At 37.4% G+C, this 27,969-nt stretch overlaps 1 long non-coding RNA gene across 1 annotated transcript; it reads left to right on the top strand.

Annotated features, from left to right (window-relative positions):
- The first annotated feature begins 192 nt into the window (after nucleotides 1-192).
- On the top strand, nucleotides 193-23,834 carry LOC105372074 (uncharacterized). Its single transcript, XR_935392.1, has 3 exons — nucleotides 193-396; nucleotides 17,783-17,973; nucleotides 23,469-23,834. It is a non-coding gene; the product is annotated as an uncharacterized LOC105372074 (long non-coding RNA).
- The last annotated feature ends 4,135 nt before the right edge of the window (nucleotides 23,835-27,969 follow it).

Here is a 27,969-nt window from a genome sequence, read left to right as displayed (position 1 = left end):
CAATCCATTCTGTATACACCTTTTCAGTTAAGATTTATTTATAACAAATATATTTGTCTCATCTAAATTCTCATTAGTGGGCTCCAGAAAATGACTGCCATTGTGAAGGGTACATAGTATCATAATGAACTGATACTATGGTGTCATAATGAACTGATCCTACTGGTGCAGCTACCAGCAACTGTGAAGAGAAAGGCTGCAAGTGTAACTACATTTCTCCAAGAGAAAAATATAAAGATGTATTTAATAATCATGTTGAAGACTTTGGAAGAAAATATTAATGACAGGAACATGGAAAACTAACAATGAAAAAGAAAAATGAGGAGTGAATGGCACCATAACAAACAATAGTATGTCACCTGCATCCGTGTGAAGAGACCACCAAACAGGCTTTATGTGAGCAATAAAGCTTTTAAATTACCTGGGTGCAGGCGGGCTGAGTCCGAAAAGAGAGTCAGCGAAGGGAGATAGGGGTGGGGCCGTTTTATAGGATCTGGGTAGGTAGTGGAAAATTACAGTCAAAGGGCAGGCAGGGGTTAGGGTGACAAGGCACTCAGTGGGGGAGCTCCTGAGCCACGAGAAGGAATTTCACAAGATAATATCATCAGTTAAGGTAGAACCGGCCATTTTCACTTCTTTTGTGATTCTTCAGTTACTTCAGGCCATCTGGATGTATACGTGCAGGCTTGGGCTCAGAGGACTGACACAGTACAAAAACAAAACAGAATACTGATATGCAACTTGGTGCAACCCTATTTAATAATAATTGATTAAATGACAAAAATAAAGTCAACTAAAATTTTTGATATATATCTTTTGAGAAGGATAGGAAAAGGTGAATAGGGATATTGAGTAAGAAGGTGAAATACTTATCTTCTATGGAGAAAAATACTATATAAAACTGGTAAATCAAAAAGTTTTAAAGTGAGTGTTAACAAAATATGGAAGAAATTACCAGAATAAACTGTTAGGAGTTGAAATTAGTTGCCTCTAGCGAAGTAGGGAGCTGAAGAGGCAAGAGAGAAGAAATGTCAGTTTTAGATACATTTTATAGCACAACCTGAGGGATTTTTTAAAAACTAGCTTCATGCATTATTAGAAAAAAAGTTTTCAAAACAGAACTTGGCCTGGGATTGATTCCTGAAGCACTCCAATATTTACAGGTCAGGTAATACAGGAAGAACCAGTGAATGAGAGCAGCAGTGGTTGCTAGTGAGGTATGAAAATGTCCAGGAGACTATGATGTTACTAAGGTCAAGAGAAAGAAAACATTTCGAGAAGGAAGGCGTGCTTAACCATGTAAAAGTACGCTAATGTTTTGAATAAGGACAGAAATATGGCATTTATTGAATTTGGCAAAATAGAGTATGTTGTTGACATTGAGTAGTTGACAGAATAAAGTAAAAGACTTGAGTTCAATTGGAATAGATTAAAGATAAATTGAGAAATGAGGAATCCGGTACAATGAACATAGACGAAGCTGAATAGTTTTACTTGAAGGCGAGCAGAAAAGTGAGGCAATATGTAGATTTAGGCCATGGACTGGAGGGATCACCTCTCAGTGTGGGTTCAATTGCACTTAGGTGGGAGCTTTGGCCTTTGGTAGCTGAAGAAGTTCTTCTCTGTCATTTTTCTAATTTCTTTACAAAATAAGAGGCAAAATTATAAGATAAAGATAGATGGTGAATTGGAGGCATAAGGATGAGAAAATGAAACGTTATGTCCCTAAGTGGTAGAATTAGGAAGAATAGAAAAAAATTCATGAGAGTAATTTGGGCTCAGTGTTAGAACAAACCTTATAGTCAAAAGGGTCCAAGAAAGATGATCTTCTTTAGGGCCTGTGTGATCTTGGACAAGTCAGTGTAAGTTCTCAAGTCTCTTCTCAGTTTTCTCACCTTGTGCATGGCATATGAATATGGTGGTTGTACAGCTTAAACATGGTTGTATCCAAGCGCATAGCATAGTGTGGGTTCACATCGAGTTCCCTCAACATCTATCTCTCCCTCTGTGGGAATGGTGGGTGAGCAGAGGCTGGGCTGCCTACCCTCAGGGGTGCTGATAAAAGATCTCCAAAGAGGGAGTAGGTAGCTCAAATGAGTGGTCATCAATTCTGACACCCTGCACTTTTGAGGCTTCAGCTCATCATTTCTACAAGAAAATGACCCCAGCTACTGTTTCAAAGTAGATACTAGAATTGCTTTTTACAGAGAAAGGGCAACCTGCTGCTTGTACATGTTATAGAAATTTGTGCATAAAATAAAGGTTTGAGTCAGACATGACAGACTAACACTGAATAATTTTATATAGACATTCAGAGGATGTCATTTAAATAACAAGTTATATGAACAAAAATTGCTTTCTCAAGAGTTAAATTTTGCAAAAAGACAAAGTCACCAATTAAAAAAAATAGTAACCTGTTGCTAATATATTTCTCAACTCAACTATAATTTTCTAAACCAAATTATATGTGTAGACATAGCCTGTGTCTTTAAGCGCAGGAAGAACTATTACAAAAAGATCATTAACTGGACTTTTCCATCTCCACAAACAAAAACAAACAAAAAAACAGTATAAATGGGCCACCAATTAGAAGCTATTTGAGATAAATACAAAATGTCCTGGAGGGTGGAATCTTACTTGTTCTGGTGTGATGTAGAAAGGAACATGCACTCTGGCGGGCTTCCTGCCTGCAAATGCATGGCTGAATGGTGAGTTCTCCAGTTCCTGTCCTATGCTTGGGATGGTGGAGCCCAAGACATCTCCCCACGCCTGTCAGGGAGCCTACTTCAGAGAAAAGTTTAAAAGAGAAAGGACTTGCCAATTTGTTAGGGAAATTTAGGTGATAGCTCACTCATGCTGGTTTCTTACAGCCAACATATCAAGCTACTTGTCAGGAATGTGGATTCTTTGCATTAAGTTATGTTTTTATTATGTAGATAGTACTTTTATTTGGAAGAATGTGTATGATATGCACAGAGCCAAAATGTTTCCAGAGCTTTTTTTTTTTTTTTTTGGTCCCTTTTATTCTCTTCCAGTTTTCCAGTTTTTGTTTTTTTTTTAAATCACAAGAGTACTAAATGTTTGTTTCATACCATTGGTAATTCTTATCCCTTTTTATCCATAACCAGAAAAAATAAATATGGTAGTATTTTGGTTTGGCTTCTGATTAAGATTCCCTCAACAATTTTATATCTGAGCTCAGGCTATCCAAACCCTTGCTAATTTTATTTAGAAAACAAATAAATTTGACAATATCTCGGAAATGATTACTAGCCTAATGAGATTTAAATATTCCAGTGCTGGTAGGCACACTACCAAAACCAACCACACATTCCACTGGAGACCAATCTAATTTTTAGGAAGCATTCTCTGAAATTAAGTTCAGCCCTTTCTCCCTACTAGTTTCATCCTTTGTTTCATTAATTTAAAAACCTTTGGTTATTTTAAAACATCAATATTAGTTTTAACTAGTTTAATTGAAGATCTTTACATGCAAAAATTCTTTGGATTCCAACATTTTTCATAAGGGGTTAGTTCTCATTGATCTGAAATACATTCACAGAAAATAGTACACCCAGACACTTCTTTGCCTTTAACATCAGTTATTTGTCAGCAAGGCCAGTTGAGAATGTGCCAGGTTGATCTGCTTTTAGGAAAATTATACTTTTAGCCAATGCGCTATTAAGTAGAAGAAAAGTATCCTCTGTACTGTGAGTCTGGGCTATTTGCAGGATCCCTTCATAGAGATATCAGTGTGTATGGTTCTACAATTGTATTTAAATGCTTCCTACTGTGACTATATGCTTATACTTATCTTTCGTATTACCTACCTTAGTTGGTTATTATGTTGGTGTACCCAAATGAATTATGCCTCACACCCTTTTGGTTCCCCTGCTTGAATCTGGGCTCAGTTTTTAACTTGATTTAACCAAAAGAGTGTGGTAGAAGTTGTATTCTGCCAGTTTTAGGCTTAAGCCTAAGAAAGAATAGGAGCTTTCTCTTTAATGCTCTTGATAACCCACTGCCATGCTGTGAGATGCCAAAACTCCATGGAAAGTTTACATGGAGGAGAAGCACAGTTTTCTGTTTGACCAGACCACCAGCACCATTTGCTGATAGCTGACAGCAAGATCCAGTCATTCATCACGCATAATCTAGTGAACCGTCTTGGAAGACCAAGTACAGTTGAGCCCCTTATGACTGCAAATCCAGTGATACTGTGGGAAGCAGAGGAGCTGTTTAGGTGAGTCCAGGCAACCAACAACATAATAAGAAATAAAGAAATGGTGGTTGTTTTAGGCTGCTAAATTTTAGTTCCTTATACAGCGATAAGTAACCTACAAGATACCTATCAAAGGACATATATCAAGCGACATCTGTACTAAAGCCATTGGGCTAGGTTCTGGAACCTAACCAACTTCAGTATATGTAAAATAAAGATTCCTCTCAAACAAAAATTGAATCAAAACTTCCAACAACTATGAGACTGCATGTAGAACAACCACATGCAAGACTGGAAAATTGAATGGCACTGCTGCATTCACGTTCTACATCCACCATACATACTTGCAATCATTGTCATCATACAATTCATCTGACTGTGTCTTTGTGACATACTTGATCTCCTTTTCCTGTTTCTACCCATTGGTTATTCTTTCCCATCTCCTTACAGCACTCTAGCCTAGGACACAAGTCTCAATCTGCAGCTGGTCAATTTCTACAAAATAATGTGGCTCTCACTCAGGACTAACCTCAGGAAGAATATCATCATCTTAGATATTAGCTATTATAAGTTGGCAGTCACTATTATGTGACTTTTTGGCAGCTCTGCGATAGGATGCTAGCCCTTAGCATACTGGAGCACTACCAGAGATAGCGTGTGTCACAGGAGGGCTCTGAGAAGTGCCCACCATCTGAATTGGTTAAAAGAAATAATTAGAGGTGCTTAAACAGTGCTCAGTAAGGCTACTGCCAGACCAATGAGAAAAAGAAAATAAGGATTGAAAAAAAAAAGATTAAACTAAATGAATATATAGAAGTGAAGAAGAGAGGAAGGAAGGAATAGGGGATTAAGGAAAAGAGAAATATATATTCTCACTTTCTATTGATTTTTGATATGCTTCTCAGTGACTTCCCAGCCCAAATTTTCCTCCTTGAATTTTACTGATATTATTTCTATTTTTTAATATAAATTTTTCCAAATTACTTGTTGCAGTCGGATGGCATTAAATAACATTAAACAAGCACAATGCTACATATGTATCTTACATGTACACTAAAGAGCCTAAAATTTTATTGAGGCAATACCTACATACGAAATATTGTGAAAAATAGGAACATTTCCACTGAATCAGTGATATCATTCAGGGTGTCAATAGGAATAAGCCAATAAGATGTTAACAAACAGCCTGAAAGATTTGGCCTCAATAACTTGATAAAACTGGAAGCAAAGAGCCAGGGCTGTGAGCTGAGCCTGTGATTCCATCGCTGATTGCTCTGGGCCTTCGGGTGGGTCATTTAACCTTGCCTGTCTTCAGATTTTCTATCACCAAAAAGGAAATTAAAACTGGAATTCATTCTCCTGGGTGGTGGCCTAAGAGCCAGAGAGCATCTTATCATTCTATTTATAATTGCAGAATTTTAGAGTTGGATGGATCTTTAGCCACCACCAAATTAATCCCCTCATTTTCCAGATGTTGGCACTGGGACTCGGCAAGGTGAAGAACCTTGCTCAAGGTCAAGCTAGTGGGCACCTGACTTCTAGCTGGAGAATCTATCATGACATCACACAGACCTGAATCCCTAAAGTATCCTTTTCTTTTTTCCTCTTTATGCCCATCAACACATCTGTGGTCAGTTAAAACACGTATTTAAGAACACAGGATCACCTTGAGACACACGCCAATTATGTCCAAATGATCAATTTAAAAATACTATTGCCTTTAATGTCAGATTTGATATTTGCCTGAAGATAGAAGGTCAGTGTTCTAACTGCATTCCTATTAGCCTGACTTGGGGAGGAACAGGAAAGGCTTTTGCTTAGCAAATTATATTTGAGGTTGGGAACATGAGTATACCTTGGCTTCAGATAAATTATCCTAGGATTATTCTATTACCTCTAGAGAATGTTTCTCTTAAGATGGCAGAAGAGGTTATGATAGTCCAAGCTTAAAATTATCCCATACATAAACAAAATGTCCATGTGCCATTTTTATAAACCCATGTGAAATCCACACGAATCATAGTATGAAAAATTAGAAGAAATTTTCATTGAATCCCTTTTGGTCACATCCTGAATTCCATTCAGCCCCACTTGATTTTTTTTCTGAGGATTTGAATTTCAGAAGGTGCATATGGATGTGCTTCTACAGTTGAGTTTTTTGTTTTTTTTTTTTTTTTTTTACATTTTGGAGACACAGCAAAAAGTATTTGGCCTGAAGTCCCAAGGATGCCTCCCTTTTACTTCCTGTAGAAGAAAGACATAGCCAACTCCATTTCAGCACTGCTTTAAGGCAGATGGAAATCAGAGCTCTGGCTTTGTGTATGGTGGCTCGCAAAGGCATTTTCTGTAATGTATGGAATGAACTGTTTCAAGTTTTTTTTTCCTTGCTGCTATAATTTTTATATCTCATTTTACCTCTGTAATTAAGACAGGTCTGGTAGGTATTTAAATTAGCCCAGCTTTCATCTCTATCACACATTCATTTCAAAACTTTTATGAATATTTAATAGAGGTTTTATAATTCATGGTGATATGATGAACAGCCTTTTGGCCGTTAAGTCAATTGACAGAAAAAAAAAATCTCTCTCTTCAGGCAGAAATAATAACGATTCTATTTCTGTTCCTAGATTGGTGATTACACAGTCACCTGTTTTCACATTAAACTTTGATGATAAATTACTCAGCAACCATGATAATATCAGAAGTTTTACTGGCCAGAACAAATCGCCAGTAATTGCTTGCAAGATAAAGAGAAAGCACTGCCTCTCTTTCCCCAGTCCTTCCCCCAGGGGGTTGTGGCTGAGACCCCGAAATCCAACTGGCTCCTATTTCTTTCATTTATTCTTCCCTTTATATTGTATTATATTTTATTTTTGTTTCCTTTTAAACCTCGATCTGTCCTCCTAGTAAGAATATATTAATATTCCATTAGCATGGCTGCAGATTTGGCATGCACACACAGAACGTAGGCTGTATAAAAACAGTTAACTTTGTGATGAATTGCAGTTCAATGAGGTTCATTTTCTCCCCGTCTCCCCACAGTACATGCATGCACATTTTAAAAAATATTTGGGGAAATGTCTCCAGATAAAAGCGTGCGCCAAAGATGCTGTTTTCAAAGCCACCTAGGGGTTTTATTTCATTTAAATATATCAAAGGTTTGGGAAAAGAGTTTGCTGATAATCCCTAAGTATGTATCCGAGAATTATAAAATCTAACTTTGGCATCAGATCCAGGTAGCTGGGGAATTGTGCCTTCAGCATTCATCTCAGAACCAAAGTGGAATCATACATGGTAAGATGTGAAAGAGTCTCACTTCACCCTCCATCCATTCCCGGTCTCCAAGGAGCCCAGAAGGCCCTCCTTATAGTATACTGGGGAGTTGGATCACCTGGCCAGCCTTTATGTCCTCTGTAATGGGGTCACAGACATTGCTGTCTCCCTGGGGATGTAATTCTGCTGCCTAATAGCTTCCACTCCAACAAACTTTTTTCCCTGATAGGCAGACAACCCCTCTCTGCTCATTTCTTCTCTGTAATGCCCCTTTTACTTCCCTGCAAATTCCCCTTTGGGGGTTTACTGCTATGCCCTGAGGCATAGGCAGTGATACCGTATCTCCTTAGCAGCAGCTTCACGAAGCTCCACACACTACATTCTCTTAATCTCACCTCGTATGTTAAGGCCTCCATCTCCTCAATCATTTTTGTGACTCTTCTCTGTACTTTGTCCAATTTGGACAAATATATTACTTGTATGAATGATGAATTTTACTCTATAAACTGCAGTGCATCAATGACTACTTGATAGTAAATACTCAAACATTCACTGTATCCGTACTATGGACACACACATGCACACTGGACCTTAATGTATCTCATACCCAAGGTTATAAATTCTAATGGCATTCAAGTATGCCTGGTTTTACCCAAGGAGAAATTCAGAGAAACCTCGATTACACATTCCTCCCCTAACTCCTTACAAGCTTTATTTTTCTCAGTGAGATTTTGAAAATCTGTCCTTGGTTGAGGGAAAGATAGCAAACCACATAACAGAACTATATTCTGTTATTACCCAAAGCAAATTTGCTTCCATAAAAAGGTATTAAACATAAGCATGCTCAGACTGAGTAGTACTCAGAGTCCTTTCCAAGAAATAAAGCTTTGTGAATATTCCCCTATCTCTGAACAGAGGTCTCATTGCTAAACTGCTCCAAGAAGGGTAGGAAGAGTCAAACATTATCTAAATTTCAGATGGGCACATTTTGGAAATCATACCCTTTAGCTCTCTTGAGAGGGAAGGGTGAAATTCACTATCAACATTTCCACACATTTGATTCCCTCTTCCTTCAAAGGAAACCTCAGAGATGAACCACCAAAGTGGCATCATGCAAACAGGAACCCGTTAAATATCAACTGTCTCTGTTGTATGGCTTTTGATGTGTGAACAATGTGTCATTGTGATGCTGGCAGAAGCCCAGCTCCCTCCTTCTTTATTGTGGGCTGCAGGGCCTAATAGGCATAAAATAACCGCCAACTGGGCCCACGTGCATTATAGTGTTTTTAGATGCTGAATAATTTAAATGATTATATTCCAGTGAGGTGGGGTAGACTTAGAAAAGCAAATGTTTACAGGATGGTGGTTGCGAAAAGCTGGCCACTCTGGGTTCCCGAAGCACATGCTTGTGCATGCAGCATACACACACACACACACACACACACACACACACACACACACACAGTGAGCCCCACAGACCGAGAACTAATGGGTGAGAAGGACTTTTCATTATTTTTCACCTTTGAAACATGTGCACTTTGCATTTGATAATTCAGGCATTTTATTAACTTGTAAATCCTTTCTATCTGTGAATCCTGGACCAAAAATATCCCCACATCTACATAACTGAAATGAAAGCCTCATGATGGCTTTCTTCTTTCCATTTCATTTTATAGTTATAATGCATGGAACAGAAGTTAGTGTTGATGTTATTTTATCATAAGCCATCTCAAGGAGTCTTCTGGCCTAGAAAGAAAGTCCTTATCTGTTACTTAGCATTACGATAACTGGTGGTTCTTATTTCTGAGTGAATGCAATTACTAGACCCCCAATTTTGATTTTGTGCTAGCCTTTCTGGGATGATATTTGTAGAGCCATGTTAATATTATATATACCTGTGTGTGAAAAGGTAGAAAGATTCATAGATGGGTTACATCACAGTTCATCACTCCATCATGTGCAATCTAGACCGAAGATTGGTCTGTGCACGTGCTGCTCTGGCTAGAGCCATGCCGGTAGACCAGATGAAATTGAAGGTCATAGATTTGGAAAGACACCGATGTGAATAGGAAATACATACGTGGGATACTTCAAAAATAAAGGTATCTGTATCTGAATCAGTGTGTTTCCTTTGGGCAAGCCAGGAGCTGATCACAGCTGTATAAATTACAGATAACTAGAAAGGCTATAACATATTGTAGTCATTATAAATTGCAGCTGCCCATGATAGTTTGTTTTGTTTTGTTTTGTTTTGTTTTGTTTTGTTTTGTTTTTAAACATCCCACCCTCCTGGAGTCTTGTTTCTTGCTTCAGAGACTGAGACCCTGGACATGAGCTAAATGAAAACAGAGACAAAGCTTAGAAGTTTTGACTTAGAAAGAAGCAGAACAGAAAGGATACTTAATAATCCCCTGCAATCTGGGCATTATGGCAGGCTGGGAACCCACATATGCTCATTTGATCCTTATGGGAAACCTGTGAAATAGGAACTACACTCCTTACACTTAGGAGTGATACTGAAGAAAGAGGAAGCAACGGAGGCTCAGGGTAGATCACCAAAGGTACCTCTGCAATCAGTGAGCCAAAATCCAGGTTCTGAGTCCAGGCTTTGTCACATAGCTCAGACATTATGTTCTCATTGTCTACCATGAGGGATGTAGCCTCAGAGTTTGCACTGGATTCTAAATTCTGACTCTGTGGGTCACCAACATTAACAGCTGGAGGGAAGAACTGAGTCATTATTTAGATGTATAGTTGCTTTAGATAGAAGCAGAATAGACTGTGCCGTTTTGGACGGATTTAAAGGTCTCTACTATTCCCCCACTGCCTGTTAGCTGGTGCCTGCCTTTCTTTATAGGGAACATCTTCCATTTTACAAACATGAAAAAGGTTTAAAATGAAATCCCCCAGGCAGTTGTACTACATAATCTGAAATACATACCTAGGTTAGACAAGCTCCCTTTCTGGGAGTAAGTTTCATGAGAGAATAGGAAAATATAGGAAAACATGGACTGGCTGAAGGTCACCCTTGAAAGAAGAGGCTGGAAGCATAAGAATTAAAAAAAAACACACACACAGATTAACAATTTGCCTAGGTCAGGTATGTTCTGATTATTTGATCAAGTAAATATGGGTATCTAAGAGCTATGTGATGTAGGCAGTCTAGGTTCTTCCTTTTTCCCCAGGTTTTCATCTAGAACATGGGGTCAAGGATTTCTGTGTACCAAGGATATGCAGTGACTTCACTAGAGATGCTCACATTGACTTGAGTAATATGTTGCATGAAATAAAATTCATACCTATTTCTCTGAGAAAAAAATAAAAATTAGAACTTCAGAAAAAAATAGTAAAGATAAGTTGCTTTCCCTTCTCCCAAGTACATAGCAGTTACTAGCTGAGGTATATTTAGAAAACATATGCAAGTATCAATGAAATATGCTAGCATGTTCTTCAGAGTTATGAAAAACAAAGAAAATAACCGTATTCTCAACACAATACTATATAAAATTTTACTGATAAAACTCCCTACAAAGAGAGTAACTACATTTAGCAGAACAAGAAGAAATCTGAGCAGATATAGTAAAAGCAAAAGGGTTCACATAAGCTGGAGGGTCTATGGTCAGATATAAGAAATAATTTACTGTTAGTAAATGGAAAAACAACTAATTTTTGTAAGGATCATTTTGTATACTGTAACTTTACTAGGTCCATTTGTTAGTTGTAATAATTTTTTGGTGGAGTCTTTAGGAATTTAATATATAAAATGTCATCTGGAAAAAGATATTTTAACTTCTTCCTTTCTGATTTTTGGAGGCTCTTTATTTCTTTTTCTTACCTAATTGCTTAGGCTAAAACTTTCAGTACTGTGTTAAACAGAAATGGCAAGAGTAGACATCCATGTCTTATTTCTGATCTTAGAGGAAACGTTTTCAGCTTTTCATTGGCCTTTGTACACTAACAATGAACTATTGGAATAAAAATTAAAATTTCATTTATAATAGCATCAACAATAATAAAATATTTAGGAATAGATTTAGCCAAGTAGGTGAAGGATCGGTAAAGCACAAGACACTGATGAAATAAACTGTAGAAGATATAAATGAATTGAAAGATGTGTCATGTTCATGGATTGAAATAACTAGAACTTTCAAAATGCCCACGCTATCCCAAGTGATCTACAGATTTGTGGCAATTGCTATCAAAATTCCAATGACATTTTTAACTAAAATGGGAAAAAAAAAATCTAAGATTCGCATAGAAAACAAATATCCAAAGCAATTTGAGAAGATTAAACCTGGAGGCATCACACGCCATGATTTCAAACTATAATACGAAGCTATAATAAAGCAGTATGATACTAGCATAAAAATGGAAACATAAACCAATGAAACAGAATAGAGAGCCTAGCAATAAACCCATGCATATATGGTCAACTAATCTTTAACAAGGGTACCAAGAATATATGAGGGAGAAAGGAAAGTCTCTTTAATAAATGATGTTGGAAAAACTGGATATCCAGACACCTGCCAAAAGAAACTGGGCTCTTATCCTGTACCATATACAAAAATTAACTTACATGAATTAAAAACTATGTAAGATCTAAAACTCCTGGAAGAAAACAGGGAAAAAGGTTTTTTACACTGGTCTTGGCAATTACTTTTTGGATGTGACACCAAAAGCATAAAACCAACAAGAACTGTTACCTGAAACCAAAAAGCTTCTGCATAGCATAGGAAATAATCAGAAGAGTTAAAAGGCAACCTAAAGAATTGGAGAAAATATTTGCAAATCATTAATCTGGTATGAGGTTAATATCTAAAATACAAAAGGAACTCACACTACTTAGCAAAAAACAACCTGATTTAAAAATGGGGCAAAAGACCCAAATAAACATTTTTTCACAGAAGACATATAACTGGCAACAGGTATATGAAAAGTTGTTCAACATCACTAATCATCAGAGAAATGCAAATTAAAACCACAATGAACCACCATCTATACCTCTTAGTAAAAGGTAAAAGACTTATGCAATCTGAAGAGAAAACAGAGTATATTAATACATGTTAGGATAGCTATTATCAAAAGACAAGATGCCTGTTAAGTTGGTAAAAGTGTGGAGAAAAGAGAACCCTGGTTCATTGTTGGAGGAAATAGAAATTGGTACAGCTATTATTAAAAACAGTATGGGGGTCCTCAAAAAAAAATCTACCACCATAAAATCTAGCAATCCCACTCCTGGGTATATATCCAAAGGAAATGAAACCAGTATCTTGAAGAGATGTCTATGTCCCCATGTTCACTGTAGTATTACTCACAATGGCCAAGATATGGAAACAATCTACATGTTCATTGACAGATGAATAACGAAAATGTGATATATATATAAGTATATACGTCTGTGTGTATAAAACAATGAAATATTATAGAAGAAGGAAATCTTGCCATTTGTGACAATATGGATATACTAGGGGGGACGGTATACTAAATTAAATAAGGCAGCCACAGAAAAACAAACACTGTATGATCATATGTGTAGTCTAAAAAATGTCAAACTGATAGCAGAGAATAGAACAGAGGTTATCAGGGGCTGGCGGTGGGAGATATAGGGAGATGTTGGTCAAAGGGTTAAAACTTCAGGTTATGTTATGAATAAGTTCTGGGGTTCTAATGTACAACATGGTGACTATAGTTGATAGAAATGTATTATATACATGAAATTTCTACATAATGTGATACTTAGTGTAATATCTATGTGTAGTAGTGTAATATCTATGTATTACACTAGTGTAATACATAGTGATTTTAAATTCCCTCAACACACACACACACACACACACACACACACACGGCAACTCTGAAGTAAAAGGTGTGCTAATTAACTTGATTATGGTAATCATTACACAATGTATACTTATATAAAATTATATTGTACACCTTGAATATACACAATCTTTAAATATTTAAAAATAAAAAATATGTCATATGTATAAAAAATTAAAACTGACTTGCAGTTTCACCTACAGTTAACCACAGTTAACATTTTGATATTTTTCATCTTTTTGTCTCTTCATATCTATCTTCAGAAAAAAGTATATAATATTCTTTATTGACACATGATTACAGATGTAGCTAAATACAGGGTATTCTTTGTGCCTGTTGCCAGAAGCTAAAAATACAAAACTGTACTGCTTTTTAAAATTAACATCCTATCATGAACATTATGAGTTAGTAAAATATTTTTCTTGTTGACATTAAGAAAAAAAGAACTTATTGACTAATAGGGATCAAATATTGACCTAGGGAGGTGAGTAATCTATTTCCCAGAGATATTCTGAAGCATATACATGTCTGCTCACTTTCCTAATTACACCAACAGAATCATTCTTTTTCTCAGAGGCATATAAAAGAAAAAATTGCCTTTAAATACATTAACCATTTTGCTTTAACTGTTTAACATATAATTAGTATTATGTTTCTAATTTTGTACTATTCATTTTACAGCAATATTTACTAGTATTTTTAGATCATCTCTCAGTGCCATGTATTTTCTATACATTAGTGGTCATAATATAGAAAATAACTATTGCCAGCCACATGGCTAATAAGTGACATTGCACAATATTTAGCAAATTACAAAGTTCAGCTACTTATACAACAATAAATTGCTTAAATATACTAAGGCATACATTTCCAACTTGTATTTTTTTGAACAGAATATAAAGTACTGGAGGGTGGGTGGTACATCTTTCTCATACCTGAGCTCCTTTCCTATCTCATCATTCATCCAACCACTTTGAATCTTCTTCCTCCTTAATATACTGTATATATTGAGGTATACTAATTTAAACATCTTCTTCCTACCTCCATCTTCTCTACCTCCATACAGGCCACATTGCTACTGTCTTTGATTTGACACACTAAGAAAAGTGAACTATTTTAGTCTTTCTTCCTTTGAGGTTGCTGTCCTTTAATAAATATCTCATAGATGCCAGACAGCATTCTAAAATGCAAATCAGATCAGGTCACACTCTTCCCTAGCACTCTCTAGTGGTTTAAATTGTCCCCAGAATGCTATCTGACCACAGCACACCTCTCTGGTCCTCCTCGTGCTATCTCCTCTGCCCAGCATGGCATAGCACATCATCTTCCTCAGACCAGCTCCCACTCATGCTATGTAGGATCCAGCTTAGATGACCCCCTTGAGAGGTCCTTCCTTTGTTTCCAAGGCCGCCTCCTATGAGAGTGTGCTTTTCTTTTCCTTTAGAGCACTTAAGACATCATGCCATAGGTTAACTATTTACTCATATTTTGCCTGTCAAGACTATGAGCTTTTCAAAAGCAATGACTTGGGGTTACTCATAAATACATCTTCACCAGTTTAAATTCTCAATAAATACATGATGAAGAATGAATCCATGATAAGGCTCTGGGCTCCATATTGGAGCTTAATAAATACTTACTAGCTAAATTCATCTATTTATTAAACTTTGTAGGACCTAGTCTACATTAATCAGACTTAGATAAAAACATTTCTTGCTCTCAAGGTACTAAACTTCATGTCAAACATCAAAGCAGGAGCACTAATTCAATAACCGGAGAAGAGAATGAGGACTCTTATTTTCTGAACAAGAGACAGGGATGTTCAGTGTCCACCAGTTAATTCTCCTCTGTTGTTTTCTCAAGGGTGTACACATAAAGCTGCTTTTCTTGTGACAATACAGATTTTTGGCTAGGCACCATTAACAAATGTGTTAAGTCCCTGTGACAACTGATTAATTTTAGTTTAAGGTTATGAATACAAAACAATGAGTGTTGGTATGTAACGTGCATTTTAATGATGTCACAGCAAAAGTAAAGGATGAGAAAGATAATTTAATTTGCTTTCTCTGAAAGGTCAGTTCTCCTGAGATGAAAATTGTCCCTTAGGGCACCAATGCCTTTCTCGGCACACGTTCCCTTCTGCTGCCTTTCTCTGGTTCTCTGTTCCTTAGGGATGAGAGCATTTATATTTAAAGACAATCCGACTATGTTGTTTGGAATGAAAGTGGGTTGATAGAGGAGAGCAGAGGACACCCGGTGCTTTTAAAATGAAAAAAAATTATATGTTTTTGCCCTTGATTTCATCATTATTTCAGCATACTTTAAGTTACTTTTAAAGTATACGTTTAAGAAAAGAAAAGAAATAGAAATGGATATGGCCATTTAAATACTACATTCGCCAGTCTTTGTATATACAAAGATTTCATGTGCAGGTGGAAATTTCTGTGAGAAAAATTGTACATCATTTGGGCAAAGCCTGTCCCAGGTATTTATAAGTGAGTTTTTATCTTTGGTCAGGATTGAATCTTTCATAACAGCAGGGCCCAGCACAGGGGTCTTGACAAACTTGGAGCTCCACATGAATCTGTGGAATCAATGGATTAATATCTGACTCTAGACATGTTGGCAAACAAATCAGTGTGCACAGTCCTTATGACTCACCCAGTGGGACTCAGTAGGCTTTACAAACAAGAAAACACATATTCAGAACATAGTTTATAGATTGAACAGAAATTTCTTTAAAAACAAATATTCAGCGTTAGGTTTCACAGAATTATACAAAAGGGGAATTTATGTGAGATATAATCAAAGCATCAAAAATACTTGAATGCAAATTGTAATTATATAAATATAGAAGTAATATACATAATCCCTGATATTAAAGATGGCACAATCTGGGTGTTAAATAATTAGTGAAAATGAATGCTTAAAAGTTAAATGGAAGTCTGAGAAAGGAACAGATACGTCACATTTCTGAGAAGTAATTTCTCAGAGGAGGGATTTTAGTTAATGAAGGTTATGAGTATTTGAGTAAACCAGAAGAATTCCAGAAGATGGATGTATGTATATCACATGTATATACACACCCACATATATATTCATATTCTAAGAATACGTATGTGTGTGTATATACACACATATATGTTCATTCATATTTCATTCTGTGTAAAAGATATCCAGAGAGAAAGCTAGATTTGAAGAAACTGACCAAGAGCTAAGTGAAAATGCAGGTAAGTCTGTGGAGACACTTGTTTTCATACATCTATTGTGCAGAGACACCCACATTCTCAGTCCTTCTGCCCTTCCTTGGGCCTCATGGTATCATTTTATATTCAGATTGCACTAGAAGTGGGAAGGTAGCAACTACTCTAAGGTTCTCCAAACACGGGAGTCCTCTTGTGAGAGGAAAAAACACATCACTGCCCTCAAGTGCCTCAGATTAGGTCAGGTTAAGGGGAGGGCCTTGAGAGGTGACTTGATACGGTAGAAAGGGCATGGAGTTTGCAGCTCAGGGATTGGTTTTCTAACTTTGGGTAACTAACTAGCTGCATGTAGAGGAATCAGCTACTTAGCCTTTTGGAGCCTGACTTTCTTTTTGTATTTGAAAAGTAGAGATAATAAATTGACAATGAGCACTTATGATAACTGTGAAAAATTCTCCTTCTAGCCAGGAGATGCTGCCCAAATAAAAACCATCTCATCCTCTTTGAAAAATTGCTTAAAAGGTTTGGTCAGTATATTAGTCTGTTTTCACACTGCTGATAAAGACATACCTAAGACTGGGTAATTTACAAAAGAAAGAGGTTTAATGGACTTACAGTTCCACATGGCTGGGGAGGCCTCACAATCATGGTGGAAGGCAAGGAGGAGTGAGTCACATCTTACGTGGATGGCAGCAGACAAAAGAGAGAGCTTGTGCAGGGAAACTCCCCTTTTTATAATCATCAGATCTCATGAGACTTATTCATTATCATGAGAACAGCACAGAAAAGACTTGCCTCCGTGATTCAATTACCTCCCACAACATGTGGGAATTCAAAATGAGATTTTGATGGGGACACAGCCAAACCATATCATTCAGGAAAGGCTTATTGGTAGAGGTGAGATTTAAGCTAGACCAAGAACACTGCGGTTCTAAGTTAAAGCTGATGAATATTTGAAAGTAATATTATTTCTATCACTGTATCAACAGCTATTTTCAGAGAATCCTAGCTGTTAGGAATACACTGTAAAAGCAGAAAAGCAAAGCTGGTAACTCCTCCCTTGGTACTTGAACCCTGATCTTGGCAAATAGTAGATTTTCTAATAACATTTGTTAGGAAGATAAACATACTTACTTTTAACAATTTAAACTATAATTTATTATAGTAAAATTGACTCTTTTGATGCCACAATTCTATCAAACTTACTTGTAGAAGAAAGGTATATATACTGACACATCTGTCCTTGGTTGGCTCATACCCACAGGGACCACAGTCACATGATTTGTGAGTACACTGGGCAGGAAAGAACAGTCCATGATATTCACACGGAGTGAAATAACTATTACACCTGCCACATTGGCTCCCACTGAGGAATGACTGCTTCCTTGATTACAAAAATGGACACTGAAGAAGATTCATAAGTTCCAGCTGCAATGTCCTCAAATAAGCCTGATTGTAAGTGTACAGTCAATAAACAAAGAACAAAATATAAGGGAAATCACCTCAAAGATGAAAGCAGAAAAGGAAATATAGGTGAAATATTGATCTTTCTAGACAGAATTATCAGTTTTCTAGAAATTGTTTGCAAAGTACATTTGTTTACTACCATATTACTAGTATGGTAATATGGTAGTACCATATTGGTATTACCATTATGGTAGTACCATATTGGTATTACCATTATGGTAGTACCATATTGGTATTACCATTATGGTACTACCATATTGGTATTACCATTATGGTAGTACCATTTTGGTATTACCATTATGGTAGTACCATAATACTACAGTGTTATGACTAAGCTGCTGCTTCTATATTTCTTAAGTTTGACCTTCTCTTTTACCAAGCTATTACAGTCACAGAAAAAAGTACAAATCTGTTCAAAATGGCATCTGATGGAAAGTAATCTTTTTATAAGCTATTATTACCAATAATCAATCAAAGTCTCAAGAGATTCATTTAAGCTAGTTGTTTTTCCCATTTGACACAATAAAGTCTGTAGAGAATAAAATAAAAATAACTCAAGTTAACAGAAGACTCTTTAAAATCCCATGGCTTCTAGAATTTCCAATTCTCAGTAGCCCACAGAGAAAGAGAATATACTCTTAATGTTTCTTTATAGGCCACTTCATAGTTCTGTGTGAAAAGGAAGATATTTTAAAATTAGCAGGGTAATTTGAGAGCTGAGGAACAGATGAGATCTGAAAATTAGGGAGGAAATAATGATTTCAAATACAGGGAAAGGAACAAGTAAGGAAATATAACAATAATTAAATAATACAAGTAACACGCAAAATAAATGAAATGCTTGGGGACTAAACTTATTTGCTAAAATACATGACCAAGGAATTCTGAATATGTTGTTCGTACTTCAAGTAACACTAATCAAACACACTCATGTTTTTTGGAAGCTATCTGGGGAATGCTAGTCTCTGGAGATGCCACTTTGTAGAGAAAAATAAAATCTTACATCATTGTTTCTCAAAGCTACAATTCAGCTTAAAAAACAACATGGCTAAGCCTTCTCCCTGCAAATAAATGACTGGCAATGATCAGAGACATGAAGTTTGGGTAGCACAGACAGAAACTATCAGATAGCATTTAGCCATCTCCTTTCTAACTGAAGGATAGAAGACACTGAGAGTTGGGGGGGTCACAGGGATGGTAGAAAACTCCAGCCTAAGAAACAATTTCCAATAAAGACTCAATTAAGTATATATACTGAAAGGTAAAAAGTACATTTAGGCTGGGCGTGGTGGCTCACACCTGTAATCCCAGCACTTTCGAAGGCTGAGGCGGGCGGATCACGAGGTCAGGAGATAGAGACCATCCTGGCTAACACGGTGAAACCCTGCCTCTACTAAAAATACAAAAAATTAGCTGGGCATAGTGGCGGGCACCTGTAGTCCCAGCTACTCGAGAGGCTGAGGTAGGAGAACGGCGTGAACCTGGGAGGCGGAGTTTGCAGTGAGCCGAGATCGAGCCACTGCACTCCAGCCTGGGTGACAGAGTGAGACTCGGTCTCAAAAAAAAAATAAAAAAAAAGTACATTTCATAATGTACTTTTGGGAAGCACCTAATTTATTAAGAATAATTTATGTAATGCCAAAATGCACATCGTCAGTCTCCAATTTGACATCATCATAGTAAAAGTGTCATCAGTTCTTAGCAACTGTTAGTTGCTAAGAGAAATCAGGCAAATCAAGGAAAATGAAATACTCCCATTTCCTTGAAAGCTTTTCTTTTGGCTGGAAATTTAAAATGGAATTTTAAAACTCTAGAAAGGAGAAGTAGGTGTCTTTGTATAGATGTAAGCCACCCCCTCAAAGTCACTCCTTGCCTGTTTGCCACATGCTTGAATTTCTACACATCAGAGTTACTTTTTTCAACCCTATGTCAGAGACACAAGCACAGAAAGAAAGTACATCCATGGGAAGATAATAGCAGCTCTCTTCCAAAACACCCTAAAAAGATTTGTAGATTTGTTTTGCACATTTGTTGCATGTAGAGGAAACCAAACATGGTGACCTATAAGAAGCTGATTTTAACATAACCTGGGTTAAATACAGGCTAAAAAAAAAAATTCTAAAATACAGGCTAAAAAATTCTTTAGAAATTTTTAAAAAAATTTCTTCTAGCATTATTCCCCAAATAAGGGTAACTTATTAAACAACTCTAGAATTCTATGTGAATACCTCAGCAGAATTACATAATGCACAATATCTGCAGCTGTATATGGCAGCCTCATTCAGAGCTCCCCGGGCATGACGAATGGTCACCTACAGAACTTGGTAGTTTTAAAGGAGAAAACTTTAACCATGGAGATGGTTAGATAAGTAGGTTTGGTAAATAATCAGTGAATATGGACCATATCGACAAGCTCTTTCCAAAGTTTCAGGATTTTAATCACATTGTTAATAGCTACTGAAGTTTTAAAATCAGCCTTTCAAGAACAGAGTTGGCATGATGTCTATGAAGACAGGGTACTTATTATCACTGACACCCCTCCCCAAAAATGTTCTTGATTAATTTCTTCCCTTGAACACTTATTAGCAAAGCAATGGATAAAATGCTTTAATCACAGATGTCTTATTTGTATGTAATATTTGCCATGCTTCAAATCAATTTCAACATCTATTTCATTTGATCTTCCCCATAAAGGTGAGTGTTGCTTACAGGACAGATGATGGGACTGAGAATCCAGAGGATTAGGAGCCTTGGCTCTGTGCCATAGCAAATAATCCCAGAGCTACAGTGATGCCTCACATTGTCTCTGTCCTAATCTGATTTTCCTCTCATCAACTCTATCTCTTAGTCCTGCCAAGTCTTGAACTCCAATCATCATCTAGATAGAAACAGGTGGTTATTCATCTGTTGTTTTGTTAATTTGTTCTTTTTTGATTTTTGGTAAAATATTAAACCAAATGCTAAACAAATTTACTTTGCCAGTAAGGAAGGAGGATAAGATCTCCTATAGTTTGCTCTTATTTTAGGTTTCCTGAAACTTGAACAGTATCTTCATGGTACAATTTGGATATCAACCTCACCCTCATCAGTTCAAACCCAAGAACCCAGGTTTATGCTGCAGAGCCATGCATGGGCAGCTCTTCCTCCTCACTGTGCCTCTGGTGACCATGGCTTTCTGTCCCATGCACAAACTCTCTGCAGCCTTCCAACAGGTGTCTGCCTCCAGCCAGTTTATCAGCACACTGTCCCCCTGCTGCAGCCCGGCTAGACTAAGTAGACAGTGTCATTATTAAGCCACTGAGAATCAGATGCCCTGTCACACATGCAGTTTCGGAAGAGTGGTTATAAGAGGGACAGCAGCCTCCCTGCCTGGTGACACTGATGGCTAGCCCTGTGGACAAGCAGCCTGGAATCTCATTAGCCTCTTTGTGGTTGCAATATTGCATGTTAAGTATCTGTCTCCTTTGATTGCCGTCCTCATCCTGGGGTATCTGGGGAATATGCCTCTAATCTAAGGGCCTTGTCACCACCTTAGTTTTTAACGTGACTGTAGAGGAGACCTTTTCAAACCCCTTTTGCCTCCCTGACTAGCTCTATATCACCAATCAGTATTTCTTCACTTACATCCAAGTTTTATCATTGTTTGGTAAAATTCTTCGTGTTTGCATTCTCTTAACAGATCACTCAGAATATTATATTTATCCTGGCTGAGACTAGGTGCTGGTTTACTTTATGACGCTCAACCAGTCCCTTTTCTGTGCCAGAGGACTCATTTAATCTAAACTTCCAGGACAGCTCTAACCTTGCTTCCCCTTGACTGGATTCTCTCAGGGTCAGGTTATCCAAATGGTCAGTTTGCTACGTAAACCAAGTGTTTTGGGCATATCAACAGTCTATACTTGGGTTAGCTGGTATAATTACACGCTGCCTCTGAACCTACTGGTAGCTGGTTAATAATCCTTAGGAGAATCTGATAAATGTGTACATCTTCTCAACCTCTACACTCTATCACCAGCATGAACGTTAAAGCAAAGGTATAGAATAGAACCATCCCTACTGTTCTCTATTCAGGCTATTTCTGTAGATCTTCATAGGGTTTATACAATGCTATTGTGGAGCATTCAAATACACTCTTGATTGTTTGAGCTGATTCTATTCCTCTTTTCCTCAAAATTAGTTCCATTCCATTAATAACATATGAAGCACTAACTGGATTTTGGTCATTGGCTGGAGTTTTAAATGGTCCAGTTCCCACCCTGAAGACACTGGTCTATGAAGAAAAGGCTCTGCTTTTCCTTGGCACTCGGAGCAGCCTTGTTTAGATGAAAATCACAGACATCAGCGGTTCATAAAAGGCAATTAGTGAGCACTATTTCTTAAGGCTGCTTTATGTTCCAGGGATGTGGAGTGGGACTTACAGGCATAGAAAATATGGAATAACAAAAAGGAGGGCCCTTGGTCAGGAAGAGTTTAGGAGGCAATTGAGGTGACATGGCAACACCATAAGTTCACTTTTGGCAGGAGTGACCAGGGCTAAACCAGAAATGGTTTAGAATGTCAGAATCTTGTTGGCAGGTAATGCATAATCAATGTGTCAAGTACAGTAGCTCACCTATAATAATTAATTAAAATATATACATTTTGGTTGATTCATTCATGAATGATTTAGTTCAAAAACAATGCTAACAGAAAGAATCTATTCTTCAATATCTATTCTACAAATAAACCTTATGGCCTATTTTTAAGCTTCCAATCAAATACATTTCTTTTTAAGATAAAACATTAGACTAATAATGGTAGCATTTTAAAAAATCATTGACTGTGCCTGGCACTATACTAGGTGTTCTCCTTCCATTATTTCTGAGTCACAGTAGTCTTATGAAGGAGCCATTTTCATAGCCCTTTTACCAAGACAGGCTCTGAGGCTCAGAGAAGTTAAGCAGCTTGTGCCTTATGAAACACATGGTAAAAGATGCAGCTGGGATTCAAACCCCAGCATCCATGGTTACATGCCAGGTTCACCCTGCTCTGCACCGTGAACCCACCTAGACTTGTTTCTCCCCTTGGCCTTTGCTCAAATACAGAGAAGAATAGATTCTGGGCCCAGGGGGGATTTTTTTTTTACTTAAAACTTCCCAAAATATCTTTTAAAGGGACTTCTAGGATCCTGTAGCTCTGCTCCTCCTTTGCACACCCATGCAGGTGGCTTACACAGCATTACTGTTGGGTTTATGTGCCACTCTCACATTATGCAGGACAGAGCCCATGATAATAGGACCATGCTTATTGATCTTACTGTGCTCAGCTCCTGGTGTCATATCTGGTTCATTGCAGGGGCCCAGTGATGATTGTTGAATTTTATTGAATCACACCAGGCCTGAGCTGGGAGCAAGAATAATACAATGGTTAGCTCATGGACTTGGAATCAGGTTCCATGCTCCAGATTGCCAGCTATTGATTGTGTGATCCTTACTCTTTTTCAGCCTCAATTTCCTCTTCTGTCACTCCCAACCTCATACTTTTGTTTGTGAGTATCAACTGAAGTAAGAAGATGAATGAAGTGCCCAGAGTAATGTCCAGCAGACCACGGACACAAAACCAAAGCTGGATTACTTTTTCTCTCCTCTTCTCTTTTGATGCTAATTTTGAAGGTGACATTGGGAGAAGAACATCCTTTGAAACCCTGACATTCTAGAAATCCAGAGCTTCCTTGAGTTTCAACTATTCTTGGATGTATGCAAAGTGGCCGGAAGCCATTAGTGATTTACTCATTGGTCTTAACAAGCAAGCTAATATGCCCCCAAAGGTCCTCTTGTAACACAAGCAAAAGGAAGCCAAGGGTTGAACCATTTATTCTGTGAATTTGATTGATGTCGACAGGCAATCTGGACAGCTGAGGCCCAAATGCACATTTTTTTTCTCCTCTTTCATGGCAGGATTGATTTTGGCCTGAATCATCTAAATAATTGCCTTCCCTCCCCTAAGACATGTCTTTCAATTTGTGGGTATAGACAGCTATAGAAAACAAGTATTATTTTAGCCTCTTCAAAACATAGAAACTCTCAAACACAGAGAGGTTAATTGATTTGACAAATGTCACACAGCTTCTCAGTTATAAAACTGAGAGACAGCCTCCAGGTCTCCAAGCTACCCCTCTTCTCAACACATTAAAGAAAACTGTTATAGCTGCTTAAACACATCCACACTTTAAATAGAAATAGTAACCTTTACAATCACATATTTTTTCCCTTTTGGGTGTAGAAAATTTTAGTTTGAAGCTGGTATAATAATGAGGTAGTCACGTGAAAATTTTTATTATGTCCATTACCTAAATGTCACATTTTCTCCTATATTAAACTTACACTATGTACTTAGGTAAAGCAGAAAATAAGTGGTTGGAAAATAAACAAAAGGCATTAAAGTCCTTATTTTCCTTATCAAGTGATAAATACTACAATTGGGAGTAGAAAATTCATTCAATCAAGTGTTCGTGATGGTCCTCCTGTGAGCGAGGCTCTGTGTGGTGGAAAGAAAAAGGCACCCATTGGTGTGCCCATCCCATAAGAATGAGGTGCTGCCCTGGGAAGAGATCAATACCTAAGATTTGAAGGTCTAGGGCTCCTGTCCTGAGTCTTTCCCAACTAACTGGGCAGATCCAGGACAGGAACTGGACAGACCTGTACCAATTGACAGCCAGGTCACCACTGACTCTAAGGGATGGAAATTAAAGTAGCCAGCTGGACGAACATTCATAAGTATTATTTTAGGACATAGTGAGATAATCTAGAAGAAACAACTTTGAAAACAGTGAATGACTACATGAATTACCATAAAAGATGAAAATAGGAAAATGTACAAAATATACCAGGCTATCCATAAGAGCTACCTCAATGGAGTCAATGTTACGTACTCTGAGTCTAGAGAAGGAAAAAATCCATGTCTGCATTAGTAATTGGAAAATACTCCTTGTTGGGGCTGAGTCTTAGGGTATCACTTTCATTTTAACCTTGTGATAACAAATATTACATTGGAGATTCTCGTTATAACCCCATTATTTCATGAGCCTATTAGGGAAAGGGTTATTAGCCACATTTTACCTTTAGGTAATTTGAAGTCACAGTTAAGGTTATTTTCTTGCTCAAGATGATGTAGCAAACTTCTCCATAAGGATAGGATATGTAACTATAAGCAGTAGGAATGGAATTGACCTCTAGAGATACGAATGTATGAACCGAGAGAGAAGAAAGGAATGTGTCATAATAAGCCATTGCCTCCATTTGGTGGGGGAGGATGCTGAACTCAATGGGAGTCTTAGCATGACCTGCAGATTTTATTTGCAGTTGTATGTCTCCTACTCCCTTACAAGTAATTGAAAGTTCTTACATGGCAAGTTCTTTGCTACCTAAAGTATTGATTGCACTTCCTTGAGTGTTGTTTCATAACACTGGAGCTCCGTGAAAAGTGGAAGGATTAAACACAAGGTAGGACCCAAGAGATCTCAAATCTACTCTTAGTTTGGGTACTAATTTGCTCTGTGACTTTGAGCAAGTCACTGAATTTTCTTCAGCTCTCTTGTACTTAAAATTGGAATAGTACCCCTTTTCCTACTTACCTCTTAAATGAAGAGATTATCCTGAGAATGTACTATGATAATACACGTTAATACAAAGGTTAAAATGCCACATAAATGCAAGATATCTCCTTAAGACTATTTCTCTGATGGCTATAAGAAAGGATAGTGTATATGATAATCAGTCAATCAAAATGTCCTGAATACCAAATAGGTATTGTAGAGAGAGCAAAGAAACCTGGCCACATCATAACAATTTAAAGGGGTGCATCATGCTAAGCAGGTGTGATGACTATAGACAGGTAAGCTCACACACAATGGAAGCATTGCTTCTTGGAGATTAAACAGGTAATCCACATCTTTTAAAATGCAACCTTTCAGAGGAAAGAAATTTCGGTCTCACAAAGGAGGTGGGACACTACTTTGGTCTGATAAATTGGTAGGACAGGGGAGGGTAAGAAGAAGAGATTATTCCTGTAGAGAAGAGTGTAATCTCTATGAGGACAGGGCTTTCATTCTATCTCATTCATTGATGTATCCCAAGGCCAGCTACCTTGTTGAGTCACCATAAATACATGGGATTCCATCAATGAGGGACAGTGTGAACAAGGTATACATGTGAAAATGAGCCAGTGTGCCAGGGCAAACTTAGCTGTCTTCCTGACAAGAGAAGGCTCATGATGGGGCTTAGTGAAAGATAAGTATGAACAATCAGTTGTAGTCAAACTGAAAGTGATGATGCTGAATGGAAGATCCAAAGCCTTCTAGATTGCAGCCATGAAGAGTTCTAACAAACTGAAATTTCTTGAACTGGGTGTTACGGACTCCTAGACAAGTGGTTTGTAGATGTCTTCTGGGGAATTCATTAGACTCTTGCCTAAAATGGTTTTGCACAATTGTGTATGTGTGTGCATTTCTCATGGTTGAGCTTAGCTTTCTGTCAGTTGCTTAAAATGGTATATGCCATAAAATGGTCTAAGTGTTTCTGACTGAGGTTATAAAAGGCCTTTATATGTAATATGTAGCTGATTTATTATACCAGGAATCATTTTATCACATATGATTGCATTTTGAGGAACCTTCATAATTAAATATATCTAATTACAATGTATTTATTTATTTTAAGTCTCTCTCTCTTTCTCTCTCTGCGTGAGTGTGTGTTTCCCATATTGTGAGAATGTGAGAACATGGACGGTGGCTCTTTATTGCCTGTGTGGGCTAGTCTGAGCCAGGTTGTAAATGCTTGAGCAACTTTGAGAATATAAATACATCTGAATCCAACAAATAATATACCCAAATGATATAGTTTTTTCCCCCAACTCATGAAAGCACAATGCTTATTATTTCATAAAGATATTTTTTCTGCTATGTGGCTAAATATCTTTGGTATTCAAATACATCTTCAAATGCCTTTGAGATGTTGTCTGTACTGAATTCAGTTTCAATAAGCCCTTCTTAAGGATGTCCCAAAATTGTCAATGCTATTAAGATGAAAATCTTAGGAAATATCTTCATACCTGCTTTTTTATCTAGGCAGAAATATAAGGCTTTAACACTTGAATTGGGTGTCCCTTCCCTACAACCAGAAGTTCTAAAAATAAAATATTCAGTATGAATTTTTCAGGTAAGAAGCCATGCTTACCATTAAAATTAAAGGAAGCAGTGGGAATATAGTTTGGCAATGTCCTCGGAGAACTTCAGGTGGCAGTCACCCCAGTGAGGAAGGAATGAAAGGCCATCAAGCATGGTGAGAACATGGTCACAAACACCGCTGTCTATAAAAGTTAACCCAGAAATAAAGGCTGAAAACTGGTTCTGAAATGTAATCAGTTTTAATTCTAGCAATTACAAAAATGCCTTTAGATAAATAACTCTCAGCAAGATGCAAGCAGCAATATTAGAGATTTCTGATGAACCTTTCACTCCTCTGAGAAATGGAGCTTATCCTGTCCCCAATAATTTCACCAGCCAAGTTTTCTAACTGGTGTCCCAATGAATGGAATTCCACACGTGCCTTCTCTTCACACCCATAAACTTAGGTCTTTCCAACATTGTAGCTGTGGTCAACATGTTTTGTTGCAGGAATGAAACTCTCTATAGCAACACAATCGAATCAATGGTACAAATAACAGTGGTGGGAATATCCACAAAAGAAAGCATGAAATTTCTGACATTTTGTACTTATTAGTTAAGGCAGCAATGGCACAGGGAAAGCTGTACTTTGGATGAAGTAAGTTAAGGATCTCAATATCTTTGTGCATTATCTGAGGATCTTAAGAAATAAAAGACTGGAATCTGGAAGAGCAAAATAACCATGTAGTGGCTGATACTTCTGGGGAGGCCAGGAGTATAGCTTTGGGCCTCAGCTGTGAATGGGTGGGCAGGGCATTTTGATCTTGGTTTGAAAGGGCTTA

The sequence above is a fragment of the Homo sapiens genome, chromosome 18 (genome assembly GCF_000001405.40).
Source record: "Homo sapiens chromosome 18, GRCh38.p14 Primary Assembly".
In the NCBI taxonomy this organism is placed as follows: Eukaryota; Metazoa; Chordata; class Mammalia; order Primates; family Hominidae; genus Homo; species Homo sapiens.
Note: the sequence above shows the minus strand (reverse complement) of the source record. Positions and strands in the feature narration are given on the sequence as shown.